Source organism: Homo sapiens, chromosome 2, assembly GCF_000001405.40.
Source record: "Homo sapiens chromosome 2, GRCh38.p14 Primary Assembly".
Taxonomy (NCBI): domain Eukaryota; kingdom Metazoa; phylum Chordata; class Mammalia; order Primates; family Hominidae; genus Homo; species Homo sapiens.
The window spans coordinates 80,188,991-80,206,218 of record NC_000002.12 but is presented as its reverse complement, the minus strand read 5'-3'; the positions used below and the strand labels follow the sequence as shown (position 1 = coordinate 80,206,218).

General features: G+C 39.4%; 1 protein-coding gene across 11 annotated transcripts in view, besides 1 other annotated feature; it reads right to left on the bottom strand.

Annotated features, from left to right (window-relative positions):
- Positions 1 to 17,228, bottom strand: part of CTNNA2 (catenin alpha 2) — a 1,463,404-nt gene that overhangs the window by 442,562 nt on the left and 1,003,614 nt on the right. The gene's annotated exons all lie outside the window — the stretch shown is intronic.
- Positions 15,168 to 15,368: a silencer, noted in NCBI's record as "peak3752 fragment used in MPRA reporter construct". NCBI's record gives its function as "represses an SCP1 promoter by STARR-seq MPRAs in K562 erythroleukemia cells {active_cell/tissue: K562}" and the evidence as "EXISTENCE:reporter gene assay evidence [ECO:0000049][PMID:32103011]".

Genomic DNA, 17,228 nt, shown 5'->3' with positions numbered 1-17,228 from the left:
ATCTTAATCTGTAGTGACATGGTCGGAAAAGTTCAGGTCTACATTCTGTAATGCCGTGAGACAAAAATAATAATAGATTTCCATATGATTAAGGAGAATATGCTGATAATTATGGAAAAAAGGCAATGGTGAGTCAGAGTATTATGGCAGCTGTGAAAAGAAAACACATGAAATGGATTACCATGACAAGAAAGCTGAACAAAATATAATTCATTGTAATGTGAAAGGCTATATCTAAAGTCACTTGATGATCTATATAAAGTGCTTTATAAATATGTTTTAAATGCATTGTCCTGAATCAATTTAAAAAACTTTTAGTGTCAGTTGTTATATTCAAGATGTCAGAACTTTGGATTTTTAAACAAGTATCTCTTTTTTCTTGGATTACAAAGAAATAAAATACTGCTGACATGAGAAACAATTTTCTCTTTTGAAACAATCGCAGTCACCTTCTATTTGAGGAGTACCTTAAGACATACAGAAGAGTTTCAATAGAGAAGGTTTAGCAATCTGGAAAACCGCAAGAGAGGCAGTAAGTTAACACCAAAAGCAAACAAAAAAGAAACTCATGAGCATCCAATATCAACCTCAGGATGACACAGTGTTAAATGTGTGTGGTCATTTGCTGATTGAAATATATTCCTGCTAAAGAAGAAAATTGTTTCATTTAATTCAGTTTTCAGGGAAATTTTTCACCATAAATTATCCATCTTCTTTACCTTCTGAAATGAATTTCCTTTAATCTAAATAAATCTTTATCTGCTGCCTCTGGACCGTCAGTGTCAACACTAATTATTGTGCTCTTTATCATGCAGGGACAACAGGGAGAGCTATTGAGAAAGCTAAATATCTGCTGTTATTTTTATTCCCTGGATCTGTTGGTTTTCAAAGAGGTTTTTTGTTCAACTGTTTCATAGTTTCTGTGTGTATGGTTTTTTTTCTTTTTCATTATTCAGGTGTTGGGGGTCACATTTTCCCTGGGATCAAAATACAATCCTTCAAATAACTCTCTACCTTTTAGGTTTGGTTATTGCTAATTGTCCAGGATGTCAGAAAGCCAAGAATATCAGAACTGAGTGTATGATATGGTTAAGGCTCTATGTCCCCACCCAAATCTCATCTTGTAGCTCACATAATTCACATGTGTTATGGGAGGGACCTGGTGGGAGATGATTGAATTATGGGGGCAGGTCTTTCTCATGCTGTTCTTGTCAGAGTGAATTTGTCTCATGAGATCTGATGGTTTTAAAAACTGGAGTTGCCCTACACAAGCTCTCTTTCCCTGCTGACATCTATGTGAGATGTGACTTGCTCCTCCTTGTCTTCCATCATGATTGTGAGGCCTTCCCAGCCATGTGGAAGTGTAAGTTCATAAATCTTTTTTTTTTTTTTGGAAATTGCCCAGTCTTGGGTATGTCTTTATCAGCAGCATGAAAATGAACTAATACAGTAAATTGGTACCAGTAGAGTGGGGCGCTGCTGAAAAGATACCCAAAAACATGGAAGCTACTTTGGAACTGGGTAATAGGCAGAAGTTGGAACAGTTTGGAGGGCTCAGAAGAAGACAGGAAAATGTGGGAAAGTTTGGAACTTCCTAGAGACTTGTTGAATGTCTTTGACAAAAAATGCTAATAGGCATATAAAAAATAAGGTCCAGACTGAGGTGGTCTCAGATGGAGATAAGGAACTTATTGGGAACTGGAGCAAAGGTGACACTTGTTATGTTTTAGCAAAGAGACTGGTGGCATTTTGCCTCTGCTCTAGAGATTTGTGAAACTTTGAACTTGAGAGGGATGATTTAGGGTATCTGGCAGAAGAAATTTCTAAGCAGCAAAGCATTCAAGAAGTGACTTGGGTGCTGTTAAGCATTCAGTTTTAAAGGGGAAAGACAGCATAAACGTTTGGGAAGTTTGCAGCCTGACAACGCAATAGAAAAGAAAATCCCATTTTCTGAGGAGAAATTCAAGCTGGCTTCAGAAATGTGTATAAGTAATGAGGAGCCAAATGTTAATCACTAAGAGAATGGGGAAAATATCTCCAGGGCATGTTAGAGAACTTTGCGGCAGCCCCTCCCATCACAGGCCCAGAGGTTTAGGAGGAAAAAATGATTTTGTGGTCCGGGCCCAGGGTCCCTCTGCTGTGTGCAGTCTAGGGACTTGGTGCCCTGTGACCCAGCCACTCCAGCCATAACTAAAAGGGGCCATGGTATAGCTCAGGCTGTTGCTTCAGAGGGTGGAAGCCTCAAGCCTTGGCAGCTTCCACATGGTGTTGAGCCTGCAGGTGCACAGAAGTCAAGAATTGGGATTTGGGAACCTCCGCCTAGATTTCAGAGGATGTATGAAAATGCCTGGATGCCCAGGCAGAAGTTTGTTGCAGGGGTGGGACCCTCATAGAGAACCTCTGCTAAGGCAGTGCGGAAGGGAAATGTGGAGTTGGAGCCCCCACACAGAGTCCCTACTGGGGCACCACCTAGTGGAGCTGTGAGAAGAGGGCCACCATCCTCCAGAAACCAGAGTGGTAACTCCACCAACAGCTTGCACTGTGCACCTGGAAAAGCTGCAGACACCCAAAACCAGCCTGTGAAAGCAGCCAGGAGGGAAGCAATATCCTGCAAAGCCACAGGAGTGGAGGTGCCAAAGACTATAGGAACCTACCACTTGCATCAGCATGACCTGGATGTGAGACATGGAGTCAAAAGAGATCATTTTAGAGCTTTAAGATTTAACTACCCTGCTGGATTTCAGACTTGCATGGGGCCTGTGGCCCCATTGTTTTGGCCAATTTCTCCCATTTGGAATTGGTGTATTTACCCAATGTCTGTACCCTCTTGGTATCTAGGAAGTAACTAACTTGCTTTTGATTTTACAGGCTCATAGGTAGAAGGGAATTGCTTGTCTTGGATGAGACTTTGGAATGTGGACTTTTGAATTAATACTGAAATGAGTGGAGACTTTGGAGGGCTGTTGGGAAGGCATAGTTGGTGTTGAAATGTGAAGATATGAGATTTGAGAGGGGCCAGGGACAGAATGACACAGTTTGGCTCTGTGTCCCCACCCAAATCTCATCTTGTAGTTCCCATAATTCCCATGTGTTATGGGAGGGACCAGGTGGGAGATGATTGAATAATGGGGATGGGTCTTCCCATGCTGTTCTCATGATAGTGAGTGGGTGTCATGAGAGCTCATGGTTTTAAAAACAGGAGTTGCTCTGCACAAGCTCTCTTTGTCTGCTGCCATCCATGTAAGATCTGCCTTGCTCCTCCTTTCCTTCTGCCATGATTGTTAGGCCTCCCCGGTCACGTGGAACTGTAAGTCCATAAACCTCTTGCTTTTGTAAATTGCCCAGTCTTGGGTATGTCTTTATCATGAGTGTGAAAACAGACTAATACAGTGTGATTTGCTTTAAGGAGAGGCTTTAAAAAGTCTTTAAAAGCCAATACAATCAGCTCAGGGCTTACAGGTAGCTTTGTCTTTTTCTTTTTTTTTTTTAAATCTCTTGGAAACAAAGTTCTTTGCTCCATAGTTTATGGCTGGTTTGATTATTAGTTGAGCTTTGTGCTATTTTAATTAATATACTATTTTTAATATGGACATTCCAAAGTGCCTTATAATATTTTCTTAATGGAAATATTACTGAGTTGTGTAAAAGAGATGAAAGGGAAGTCAATATCACTGATTATCAAGGTTTGCTATTAATGCAAATGAATTCTGGATTCAACCCATTTTTCTACCTATGGTATGGTCAATCATTCCAAATGACAGCCAATAGGGGAAGCCTTCCCTGCTACCAAGGCTGGAGTGGTAGCTCCTTCTGTGTGTTCCTGAATCTTCTTCTAATCTGTATGGTTGCCTGTACCACATTTTATTACAATTTTCTGTTTATGTGTCGGCCTCTCCTTTCAGACTGCTGGTTCCTGGAGACTAGAATTGATGCTTCAGTGTCCTGGAGCCTATTTCATACAGGTGCTGAGCTATGTCTGGGTGATTAATTAATTCATCAACAGATACAGGTACATACAGGTTTAGTAATAGGAAAAGAAATTAATACAGAGCAGATCAAGCAGGGAAAGAGGGAGGAGGAGAGAAGACTTATAGTCATATGCATATTCTGCTGATAATGAAAAGTAAACATAAACAAGGCTAGGCAGCATCAGTTGAAGCTAGTAGGGAAAATAAAATGCAAAAATGCAGTAGAGTATGAGAAGGGTGCAGGGGATAAGAATGTTTTCCTTGCTCAGTTGGGGTGGTGAAGGGAGTAGATAATAGGGATAAATTAGGCCCATTAAAATGTAGCGAGGGCAGCAGATTAATGTTTTCTCCAAAAAGGTGGCAGTCCTGAGATCATTCTTTAATTAGTGTTTAACAGAGAAAAGAAAATTGGGCAATTAGAAAAATAACAACAACTAGGCAAAAACATCTCCTGTTAAAAGGCTCAGGAAGAAAAGGAATATACATTAACTACAAGATTAGTCCTGCATGTTGAAACACTGGGAAACCTGGCATGTTTGCTGAACACTTTACCATGATTAGAAAAAGAATTATTGTGGCCGGGCACGGTGGCTCACGCCTGTAATCCCAGCACTTTGGGAGGCCGAGGCAGGCGGATTACGAGGTCAGGAGATCGAGACCATCCTAGCTAACACGGTGAAACCCCATCTCTACTAAAAAAATACACAAATTTAGCCAGGCATGGTGGCAGGCGCCTGTAGTCCCAGCTACTCGGGAGGCTGAGGCAGGAGAATGGCATGAACCTGGGAGGCGGAGCTTGCAGTGAGCCGAGTTTGCACCACTGCACTCCAGCCTGGGTGACATAGCAAGACTCTGTCTCAAAAAAAAAAAAAAAAAAAAAAAAGAAAGAAAAAGAAATATTGTGGATACGATAAAACATGCCCAAATATTCTTAAATAAAAGACTGATTTGCCTCATTTTTCTTCTTTGGGAATGTAGTCAGGCCTCCTTATCTGTGAGTTATACACCCATGGATTCAAGCAACTGAGCATTAAAAATGTCAAAAATATACAAATTAAAAATAACAATACAATAATAAAAATAATACAAATAAAAGACAATTCAGTATGATAACAATTAACATAGCATTTACATTGCATTAGGTATTTTAATTAATCTAGAGATGGTTAAAGTAAATGAGAGGATGTGTGCAGGTTATGTGTAAATACTATGCCATTTTATATCAGGGACTTGAGATTGCCATTTTATATCAGGGAATTGATTCAGGGGTCCTGGAATCAATTCCCCGTGAATACTTAGGGATGATTGTATAATCTTTGTTACTTCCTCAGGTATCATGGATCCCATCCCAAGACACTGAGAAGGTACAGGAAAAAAAAAAACCAAGGCTATCAGGTTGGCAAAAACACTCACTCACAGCCAGGCATGGTGGCTCATGCCTGTAATCCCAGCACTTTGGGAGGCTGATGTGGGTGGATCATGAGGTTAGGAGATGTATACCATCCTGGCCAACATGGTGAAACCCCATCTCTACTAAAAATACAAAAATTAGCCGGGCGTGGTGGCAGGTGCCTGTAATCCCAGCTACTCAGGAGGCTAAGGCAGGAGAATTGCTTGAACCCAGGAGGTGGAGATTGCAGTGAGCCGGGATCACGCCATTGCACTCCAGCCTGGGTGATACAGTGAGACTCCATCTCAAAAACAAACAAACAAACAAACAAACAAACAAACTCACTTTAATATGTCCATGCATAGGTTTATATAAAATACAAATGTATACATATACACACTATTCTCATACAAAGTAGTATGGTGATTTTCCCTGAACTCCAGATATCAATTACATAACACAGCATAATGATAGTGAGGAAGGCCACTGATTTAGAAATTAAAGAGCTTGGGTTTATATTCTAGGTTCATCCCTTCCGGGCCTCATGAACTTTAAGCTAGTCGTCTAAAGCAATTCAGAGTCTGTTTCTCATCTATAGAAAGGGAATAACAGAGTCTGCCTGTGGAATATTATATATAAAACATATGATACATTGTCTGGCACAAGGCAAATTACTCAATAAATGCTGATTTTCTTTCTTTCTTTTCTCAAGGGTCAAAATGGGAAAGTGGTGCCGATTCAATTTTCTTCTGGAGCATTCCTACTCTCCCAAACAGTTGGGTAGCCAAGGATAGTGAACTGGCTGTCGAGTTGTTTCAAATGTCTCCAAGTATCTAAGTGTGTTAGCTTTCTGGTTGTATCTAAGGAAAGTCAGAAACATAGGTGCCTAGGAGAGAGTCAGGTGAGCTCCTGGTGAAACCTCCTGCCCTCTGCTCTCCCTGAGAGAGAGAGAACAGGACATAGGCAGATCTCACACAATTCCTGGTTCCACTTTAGTTACACTTTTTCTAAGTAGGTCAGGAGCTAATAGCCCTTTCTTCTTTATGATGACATACCTGTCTTCTGGAAGCACATTTAAGTACATTTAATCTCCCTTTACTATCCTGACCAGCACTTTGTCCCAGGAAGGATCAAGTCTAAACAAATACCCACCTTGTGCTTCCACAGAGGTAACCATGATACCTAAGATTGGTCAGCAAGGTGGTTCAAGCTACTTTGCATTCTTCAAATATTTTTCTCTGCCTTTCTCCTTTGAAATGTACTGCCCTTTCCCTCATTCTGGCTCTCACCTCCCATGTGCTACTCCTGCTCAGGCATTAATCTGGACAAACTGTTTATGACAGCTGACTTATTAACAGGTTACTACCCTCAGGAATATTTGCATTTCTTTTGGCTGAAATATTCAAGACAGAGATGATCTTAGAAATGGTGATTATACTGCCATATTAAAAAGAATGTGTCACAGCACACAAAATCCTAAAGATCCTTAAAACCCTCTATGTCTTAACTCTCTTCAATTTCAGGGATCATGTCTTCAAGTTGCTCACCACATAGCTAGAACAGACAATTGAAAATATATGGCAGTGATTGCCTTGAATTTTCTAAATTAAAGAGTTTAGCACTGTTCCTATCAACTATGTACTGCAGTTCTTTTTTTTTTTTTTTTTTTTTTTTTTTTCTGAGATGGAGTCTCACTCTGTCTCCCAGGCTGGAGTGCAATGGCACAATCTCAGCTCACTGCAACCTCCGCCTCCTGGGTCCCAGTGATTCTCCTGTCTCAGCCTCCCAAGTAGCTGAGATTACAGGCATGCACCACCACACCCAGCTAATTTTTTTATTTTTAGTAGAGACGGGGTTTCACTATGTTGGCTAGGTTGGTCTTGAACTCTTGACCTCGTGATATGCCCGCCTTGGCCTCCAAATGTGCTGGGATTATAGGCATGAACCATCAAGCCCAGCCCTATGCACTGCAATTCTAAAGGACAGTTCCACTCATTTAAGGAAACAAAACAAAACAAAACTGACGTTGGGCATATGAGAAATAAATCAGTAAACACAATAATGAGCAATGACATCACGGGCAATAAGCCTCATGAATATAGTCAACATAAATCCTCTTCCAAGCACTTTGGGATAGGGGTCATAAAATTAGTAAATTCGGCAATGAATGGTGTTTCATATTTCAACTTCAGGAGAGAATATACTGTTCTGTCTTGTGGCATTTCACTTGCAAATTTGATTCTAATTTGATTGGTTAAAAACAGTCTCACACATTGAATGTTGAAAAGCACACTGTTAAAAAATCAGACTAACTGGCAATCTCATAAACTGAAGAGAGGTGAATATTATGGTTTATTAAGCATAGGTTAGATGTATCCAACAAAGACACAATCCCTTGATAATAATGCTTTATATTTTATGAGAGCTTAGCTTTCACTCCTTTCACTAATTTAACTGCATTGATACTAATTTCTTTCATCTTCTCATAGACATTATTGTCCAGAATTTAATCACTTTGAAAGCAATCTCCTTTCTGTAGTCCCATGTTCCTATAAATCTGAAAGAGCAAAGACCTCAAACAAGGGTAAGAGCAGAAGACACCCCTGACGTAACTGGTGAGCTCACTTCCTGAGGCGTCCTTAGGTGCTCTGGTGTCATACTTGAATTTTAACAATGGTGACTCTATCATGGGCTCACTACCAGCTCCTCCTCCATTGGAGTTTATTGTTTTTACCCAGATTTTTTCATGTGCATGAGGGGTGATACAAAACCCCAAACTCTGGTTCTAAAGCATCAATCCTTTTCTAAATGTTTTCTTATATTGTGAGCCCTGCTAGTATTTCAGAGTGACTATTGCCACAGTCATAAATGTTCAGTGGGTAGGATACATGGGGAAGTGGGATGTCCATGAGTCTATTCACATTGTAAGTTGGGAACTTATTTTCTCCCAAGCTCTAGACCAAATAATTTAGGTAGTAGCTACCACTCAAGTAGGGAATGCTTGGGCTCTGCCTAACCAAACAAACATCTCTAGGCTACAAAAAGCAAGTATGGATACTAGCTTATGACTCAATTACTGAGACTTGTCTACATGAAGATAATTCCACATCAGTGTGAGAGACTGAAGGTGAGCCTGACTGGACCGAGAAAGGCTGACACACACATCAAGGGTCAGGTTGGCACTTGGTGATGGCTCTACAGTAGTTATCTGTAGAGAGGATGGAGAAGTTTGGGCAGTAGAAAATGAATGTTCTGAGGTGGGAGAGCACAGACTTGGGAGTCAAAAAGATTCGGAACATAATTCTGGCTTCATCATGACTAGTTTTATGACTTGGCACAAATCACTACATGTTTATCATCTCCATTCTTGTAAGATGGGAATAATAACATCTGCCTTATATTGAGACTGTAAGGATTTGAGGTAATTCATGCTGATTTCTTGGTACATAAGATGTGACTGCAATAAACAATAATTATTCTTAGTAGAGTAGGGAAAGAAGCGATACATTATAATCCAAGCAGACAATCTGTTCATTTAATAGTTTAAACATGAAGTCCACAAACCAACCTACTCTACAAGTGAATCAATTTGCTAAGATTTGGGTATCCAGTGGTGAACGATGTGAGTCTGAGCCCTGCCTTCACAGATCCTACTATCTAAGCAGCCATTAAGCAAGTAAGACAACATAAATAATTGACTACAGATTGTGAAAAGTGCTCTGAATAGAGATCTCATTGGGAAAATAACAGAGTGTACCAAGGAAATAACATATTCACAGAGACCTGAAAGATGGGTAGGTATTACCTTTAAGAGCTTAGAGGGGAAAGGAGGCAAGAGATGGAAAATAGTACGTGCATGCAATATACAGAAAGAAAAAGGGCAGCGGGTTTGAAGATTAAAAGCAGTCAGTGAATAAGAGACAGAATGGCTTTGGAGGATTGGGCACAGGCAAGATTAAGCAGGGACTTCAAGAATCACATTAAAGAACTGTTTAATGCACTGGAAAGCCACTGGAGTAGTTTTGAGCAGAGATGCTGCATGATCCAATTTACTTTTTAAAGTGATCTTTCGTATTGGGGTGGCTGGCAAACGAGAGAACAGAAAATTATTGTAGTAGTTCAGAGACAGATGGTGATGACTTGGGCCAAAGTGTAGAGAACGGCTTCATAGAAGTCCAGGAAGAAGTAATCATTGGCCATTCCAGCAGCTAGGTAAAACTTTTCAGCAGGAAACTCAAAATTATCCAATAAAAAGGGAAATCAAAGCAGAAGATAGTAGGCATTTAGGGTTGTTGAAAATTGGCAATAGTTCCACTGCTGAGTTGGTATGGGTAAAGCAAAATAGGAATTCATTTTCTATAAAATCTGTGCAGTGCCAAGAGATTAAAATAGGGCCTTAGTTGTGACATGCAAGTTTCTGTGACTACAGATAAGGTAGGACATGGACGCTGAAAGTTACGAGGTAGGGGCACAAGGTCACAGGAAATAGCATAGTTTGCTCATGTTTGCCAAAGCTGAAATGATGGCTGGCAATGCATTTAATATCCTATAACTAGGAATAGGATCAGTCTCAGACACTAGGAAGAGCTGAACTAACAGATGAAAGCTATGAGACCCAACCTTAGGACCTAGCTGTCCCCAGGCAGCAACAAAGGGTGATTGTTGTGCTTTATTAACTTAATTTGGGTATATGTTTTTTACAGTCTCCCAGTAAGAAAAATCTATAATTACATGCATTTTACAAAAAAAGATGTTAGGTCAGGTAAAATGACACATTCAAAGACATAATTTCACTACCCTGCCACGTAAGCAAAATATCACTTATCTATTTTTAATATAATGGTATTTTTCATTTACTGTTTGATAGTGATGCAAATCCACTGTCTCAGGACTATAGAGAGCTCTGGCTATTAAAAGATGTGGACCTTGTCTTTTCTACAGTTTGGTTTGTGACCTGCGGTTCCCAATGCAACACTACTTCTCAATTTCTTGCCCTCAAGTGATCCTCCTGCCTCACCTCCCAAAATTCTGGGATTACAGGTGTGAGCCACTGCATCTGGCATATGCAATATCAAGTGGCTAGCAAGATAATGAGCAATGTCTTTCATGTCATTCCATGAATATCAGGAAGCAAAAACACATAGGTTTTCTACTTGTTTGTTTTCAAAAGCAAGAATCTTTCTGAATTGCTTTGCATTTTTAATGTCCTAAATCATATTGCTTCTATTCTAAAAAAAAAAAAAAAAAAGATGTTTTGGTTTTCCACCATGGGCTTGGATGGATGATTAAATCCGATTATCTCTAGAAGTCATTAAGGGTCAATCAGAAGGACTAAGGATTAAGATTGGAGTGAGGACTAAGATTGTAAACTTGGACTCGATTTGTCAAAATAAACAGTTCTATTCTTGCTCACATGGAATTGTTTATTTTACCTTTCAAATATGTTAAATCAAGATTCACAAACCAAAATATCACATGAATATGTTCTCTGTGCAGTTTGATTTTTTTTCCCCAGGCATGAAAATCAAATTTACAATGCTAATATTTCTCCAGAAATGTTCTGAGTGGTATACTTTTCTTCAAATGGGCAACAGATTTGTCTGTCTGTAAACATGCTTATAGTCCTATTGGAGTACAGAAAAGAGGCAGGCATACGGAATTCAATATATAGACTATAAAACCAAGAGAATACTCATACATTAGAAAGCTGTCATCAAGAACAGTCAACTGTTCCTTTACATAATTGAGTTCAACAAACATTTACTAAGAGTCTTTAAGTAAAGGTCCGCTAGTTGCTGCAAGGAATGAAAACTAGATAAAGCTCTTGTTCTCAAGGAAATTAAAATACACGAAGCAAACTAAATTATAGATTTTTTTCATTAAAGCCATTATTAGGCAGAAGGAAGAAAAGGTTTGAATTTATGTTTGAATTTGAATTCTGAATATCGCTTGTTCTTCAAAGCAGGAATCTAAAGTCAAATAAAGCCTGTGTGTATATATATACACACATACACACACACACATACATAAATGTATATACACACACAAAAACACAGATGTATATAGCATGATTCATCAATTGCAAATATATAATATATTAATAGAATTAATTTATATAATTAATATTAATAAGTATGTATAGTGACACACGGGTATTTTTCCTCAAATAAATAAAAAATCGCCTGTCTCCTCAAGGGTATAATAGAACTCCTTATTACCTAATCTTTTTTTACTACCTAGAGATATTTGCCTGGGTCTGGTTTTAAGCTATAATAGAAACTATATATACAGACATTGAGTCATACACCCACACATCACTCCCTATCCCCCACCACACACCTGCATACCTTAGTGTAAAAAAAAAAACTATCACATCATGTAAAATATAATTTTGAAGTTAAATTATGCTAAGCTTGTCTCAAATTGAAAACATGTTGAAGCACTGCTAAACTTAGTATAGTTGCCCTAAGAACATCTCACATTAATTTCTCTGTATTTAAAAAATGGTGATGTCCTGCATTTACCATCCACGGTATCACTGCTCTCTTGGCATGACGGCTTAAAGCCTCCTAATCTGAAGCATCAGCATGTGCAGGGAGTATTTCCTGATGTATGCCACCTTTAATAATTTAGTATGTTGACTTATACTTTCCACACAAATAGAATGTGTCTTAACAGTAGTAAATACAGCTACAAAGCGGTGAGAAATGGCAATTGGCTGAGGGCACTAATTACACTGCCTTGACTTGAATTAAAATTGCTAAACAGCAAATGAGATTACCAGTCTAAAGATAACCTTAATTTAAATGCCAAGCTGCATTTATCTCATCTACAATGTAATTTTCCAGAGGTGTAGAATAATACAATTTTAATGGAAATCCATTGTTTAAAAATATAATTAAAGTCCCTGGTCCCTCCCCACCACACCTTTTGATTTTGTTTTACAGGCAAGATATGCAGACTGATTTAGAGGTCAGAATGAAAACATTCAGATCCTGTCCTCATGGCCAGACATGACTTTCAGTATCATCTTCATTTTTAATGATTAACAGCTGGATATGGGAAAAGTAAATGTCAAAGGGGTGAGAGGTGGAGGAGGAAAAGAAAATGACCTTCTCTAATTCCTGGAGCTCTAAGGAATGTTACACATGATAAGAGCTCAAACCACCAATTGATTAATGAGAAAACCCAAGACCCAGAAAAGCCAAGTGATTTTTCTAAAAACACAGAGCAAGAAAGCAGCACTGCCCAGCAGAGATGCTGGCCTGGGATTTACAGACAGAAAATCTATGAATCCCATCTCTTTTCTTATTAGTTCTGTGAAGGCAACTTACTATCTTTCAGCCTCAATTTCTGCATCTGTAAAATGGAGAAGGGAATAATTCCAATCTCACAGGTCAGTGAGAATGCATACATGCCTGACTTACACAAGTGCTCAATAAAAGACACATTTTATCGTCAATGACTTCCCACGACCAGAACCCAAATATACCGATTGCCATTTCAAGCTTGCTTCTATTACACCTACTTTACCTTTCACTAACCCAAGACTATGCCCATGGTCTCATGAATCACACCAAACACTTGATGTACATGTAAGTGGAAAGGGACAAAGGAACAAGAAATAATTAAGAACTAATATTTCTCATTGGTTGATATGAATGAACATTCAGTTGATAGTTACCAATGAACTATTATTACTAAAAACACTAAGGTTTATAAGATAAAGGTCAAGGGTTTTTAAAAATCTGCTCATTTTATGAATATGAAAGCATATAAACAAAACAAAGCTGAAGGTTAGTCACTGAGAATTGAGGGACAGTAATTTCAATATGAAGTTCCTCAATCATCAATGACCTACAATCCTGTATACACCTTACACACTTACAATCACTCACACACACACACCACTATACACACTCCCAAAATACGCATCATAGTAGTTTCATCATTCTCAGTATGGTGGGACTGAGTAGATGCATGACTGAGTAGATTATATTTCTGAGGGTAACAAAGAGTTGGATTCTTTGAAAAGTTTACAGATTAGTGCACGGGTGCGGTGGCTCGCGCCTGTAATCCCATCACTTTGGGAGGCCGAGGCGGGTGGATCACAAGTTCAGGAGTTCGAGACCAGCCTGGCCAATGTGGCGAAACCCCATCTCTACTAAAAATACAAAAAATGTGGCTAGTGCCGTAACCCTAGCTACTCGGGAGGCTGAGGCAGGAGAATCGCTTGAACCCATGAGGCAGAGGTTGCAGTGAGCCAAGATTGTGCCCTTACACTCTAGCCTGGGTGACAAGAGCAAGACTCTGTCAAAAAATAAAAAGAAAAAAAAAGAAAAGTTTTACAGATTAGCCCATTTTAAGATTTATTTTACTATTCTCATTAATCAGAGAGAAGATGAATAAATACTAAAAGGGAAGACAAGAAATCAAGAAGAAAGGAAAACAGAAAGGAGTTAAATCATCATGACCACTGGGCAATAGAGTCTTCTTTACAGACAATCGTATGGTGGTTTTGGCTAAGGTAAGGCTTGCGATAGAGTGAAAACAACTTTGAATTAGAAGAAAGGTGTCCTAGTTTCTAACTTCAGTCTTGCCTGTACGTAGTTAGATTACATTTGATAGTTGTTTAACATTTCTTCTACCTATCTATAAAATAAATAATTTTCCTTATCAGTGTGAAAATGAGATGGTTAGATCAGAGTTCCTCCAAAGTTATGTCTGCAATTCTGTGATTCCATGAATATTCACCACTGCAGACCTCAAACTCTTTTTGAAGATGAAAAATCCCATATTTTCAATGTATAATTTTAGAGAAAATTCACTAATCAGTTTGAATTATGGTAGGACCTTTCACTGGGTCCTAATGCTCTGAATAATTCTACTTTCTAGAATGGGTCATGACTAGCCAATTAATCAGGATTTCCTTATGTCTTAGCTTTATGTCTAAACCTGGAGAAGTAAAAGATGTCCATGTTTGGTTATCTTTAACCACACCCTAAACTCTGAGTTGTTTTCAGTAAACTGAACTAAGTACTGTTTGTAGATGAAATGCCTTAATCAGTATCCATGTAGTCACCATCATTTACACTGCAGTGTTGAAATATATACGTAATAACTCACTCTTCCCTACAGAGATATATTAGGCATTTTTACTTCTCAAATAATGTTTTTTGTTACTCTTCATATTTTCAAGTTTCTCTAAACAGCACTTGCTCTCTCAGTCTCAACTTTAAGATGACTCAAGAGACTACATCTGAAGTTGAGTATATACTGAGATTACTTGATTTCCAGTTGGAAACCAGTGAGGAGTGAAGAAAAAGGTGAAGAAGGGAAGAAAAAGGGCATCTGAATGGGAAGAAGTGAGACTCACTTGCTCATCTAAATTGAAGTCAATCTCCTGACAGGATTTGCAGGGATTACATCTTAACTAGTCCTTAGTACCACTTCTGGCACACAGCAAGTACTGAATAAATACTTCTTGGAAGAAAGAGAGATAGTAAATAAAGACAGCCAATAAGGAAGAGAAGACTTAATTCATGCTGGGGTTTGTTGGAATACTGATAGGAAGTGTGAGTAAAATCTTACCAAAGTTTGTTTTTTTCCCTAAGCTAGTTTCATATCTCCTACTATTCTGTCTTATGGCTTTGTCTTCCCTTTTAAAATATTGGCAAATTGCAAATTTCCTCAGACAAGGAAAGCACAAAAGTGGTCATCTCCTGGCAAAGTAGTCCAGGAAAATGCTGTCTGATTTAACTTTTTGAATAGTGTAAAATATGACTATGATAGAGAACATTTCACTGAGGAAGTTTAAGGTCACCATACATATAAGACCCTAGCGGTCAAAACACTAGAACAGCTGCAGCCTATTTTAAAGGCGGTGGAACAAGTTGCACTTCAGATCATGGAAATCAGCTGTCTCGTCTCCTCCCAGGACAGCTCATAGGATAAAGAATAATCAACAGCAACGACTGAACAGCCAGCTGCCTCAGAGATGGACATTGCTGTTGCAAAAGGAATCCCTATAATTTAGAAATTAAGAAACCATAAGAGATGGCATTCTAAGTTGAAGAGACTTCACAAAATACTCAAACAGGAGTTTAATATGGGACTGTATTTAGGCCAGAAACCATAGAAGCCAGGATATTACCTTTTGCAACTGACCTCAGTAGTCAAACCAAGGGGCCACATAGAAGGGTAAATGCACCTGATAGCAATGATTTCAGCATACCCTTAGAATAACCCTGTATGGCAGATGCACCTCAATGTGTGTTTTGAGCTACAGATTCTGGGAGTGGCCAACCCTGAGATTTGTTTCTTATATATAATAAACATCTGAACCCCCGGCCCATCCTGTGGAACATGGGCCATACAGAGGACTGAGGCCCTGAGTTTTGGGGTAAATGAAGGTTGCCAGGTGGAGTTCATTACGGGGAAAGTGTTAACTGAAAATGCTATACAAACCGCATGCTGTTTGCAGGTGGTTGAAGTTTTCCTGCCCAGGCCACTGCCACTGAGCGATGCGGTTATCTGGTCCAGCCTGCCACCACTGGACCACTTCTGCAGGTAAGATGGTTTTCCTCTCCAGCCCACCACCACTGGACTCTCTCCCCTGTAATCAGCCCCTAGTAAAACCCCATGTCACATTTGCTGGCTCTGGGTCTCCTTCAGGCTTTTGAACCAAAGCCTTCCCTGTTAAGGTTAATAGGGGTTAACCTCATTAACCCCTATTAATCATGATACTGATGGCTTTAAGGTCTAGTTTTAGAGATTCAGTTTCTATGTGTGCACACATTGAATCTCTAAAACCAGACCTTAAAGGCATCAGTAATTAGATTTTTTTTTCATGGATTTCCCCATTCATGTTTCCTCTGACCTCAAAGTCTTAGTTAAGTGTATGCTTTTCATGAAGGAATGCTCCCATTTTAACATCTTCTGATTAACTGAGGATTAAACACACACACAACAAAACTCTCTGATTTATCCTTGTTAGTACAAATGCTTCCTAAATATTTGACATTATTACACTTCTACCTGGAACATTTTCTTATGGGGAAATATTTTTTTGTTTTATTGTGTGTGTGTGTGTTTTTGTTTTGTTTTTTTTTTAACTGGTTGAGGACCTTGTCTAGTCACCTCTAGTCTGGTATTGTGAGGTGGAACAACGCCACATAGGCGGCCCAGGCATGGGCCTGGAAGTCTGTGTAGGTCTAGGTTCTACATCTTTGCTAATTTATTTTCCTTCCCTGAGCTCCTCTTTGCTCCCTTAGGAAAATAATAGGCTTAGACAATGTGATCCTGAAGGCTACTAGGAACTCAATGCTACTGTCCTGTGGAGGGCAAACTTTGACGATGGCTGCCAAAGTCTCAGGATCCCATGCTGCAGGGAAGAATGGGATACAAGATTTTGTAAGCATGGAGAAGGAATCAAAGATGTGACTCCAACTTCTCTTGTGGCTAGCTCAGCTAGAGTTGAGAAGTGGAGGCTGACAAGACACTGACTTCAATTAATATCAGAAGAGAATCAGCACTCAGCATTGGCAGAAATTTCTGACCAGGCCCAGTACTCTTGTTAACTGAGGCAGCTTATTAAAAACACCACCAGGCCAGGTGCAGTGGCTCATGCCTGTAATCCCAGCACTTTGGAAGGCCAAGGCAGGTGGATCACCTGAGGCCAGGAGTTTGAGACCAGCCAGGCCAACATGGTGAAACCTCGTCTCTACTAAAAATACAAAAAATTAGCCAGGTGAGGTGGCAGGTGCCTGTAATCCCAGCTACTCGGAAGGCTGAGGCAGGAGAAGTGCTTAAACCTGGAGATGGGAGGTTGCAGTGAGCTGAGATCATGCCACTGTACTCCAGTCTGGTGA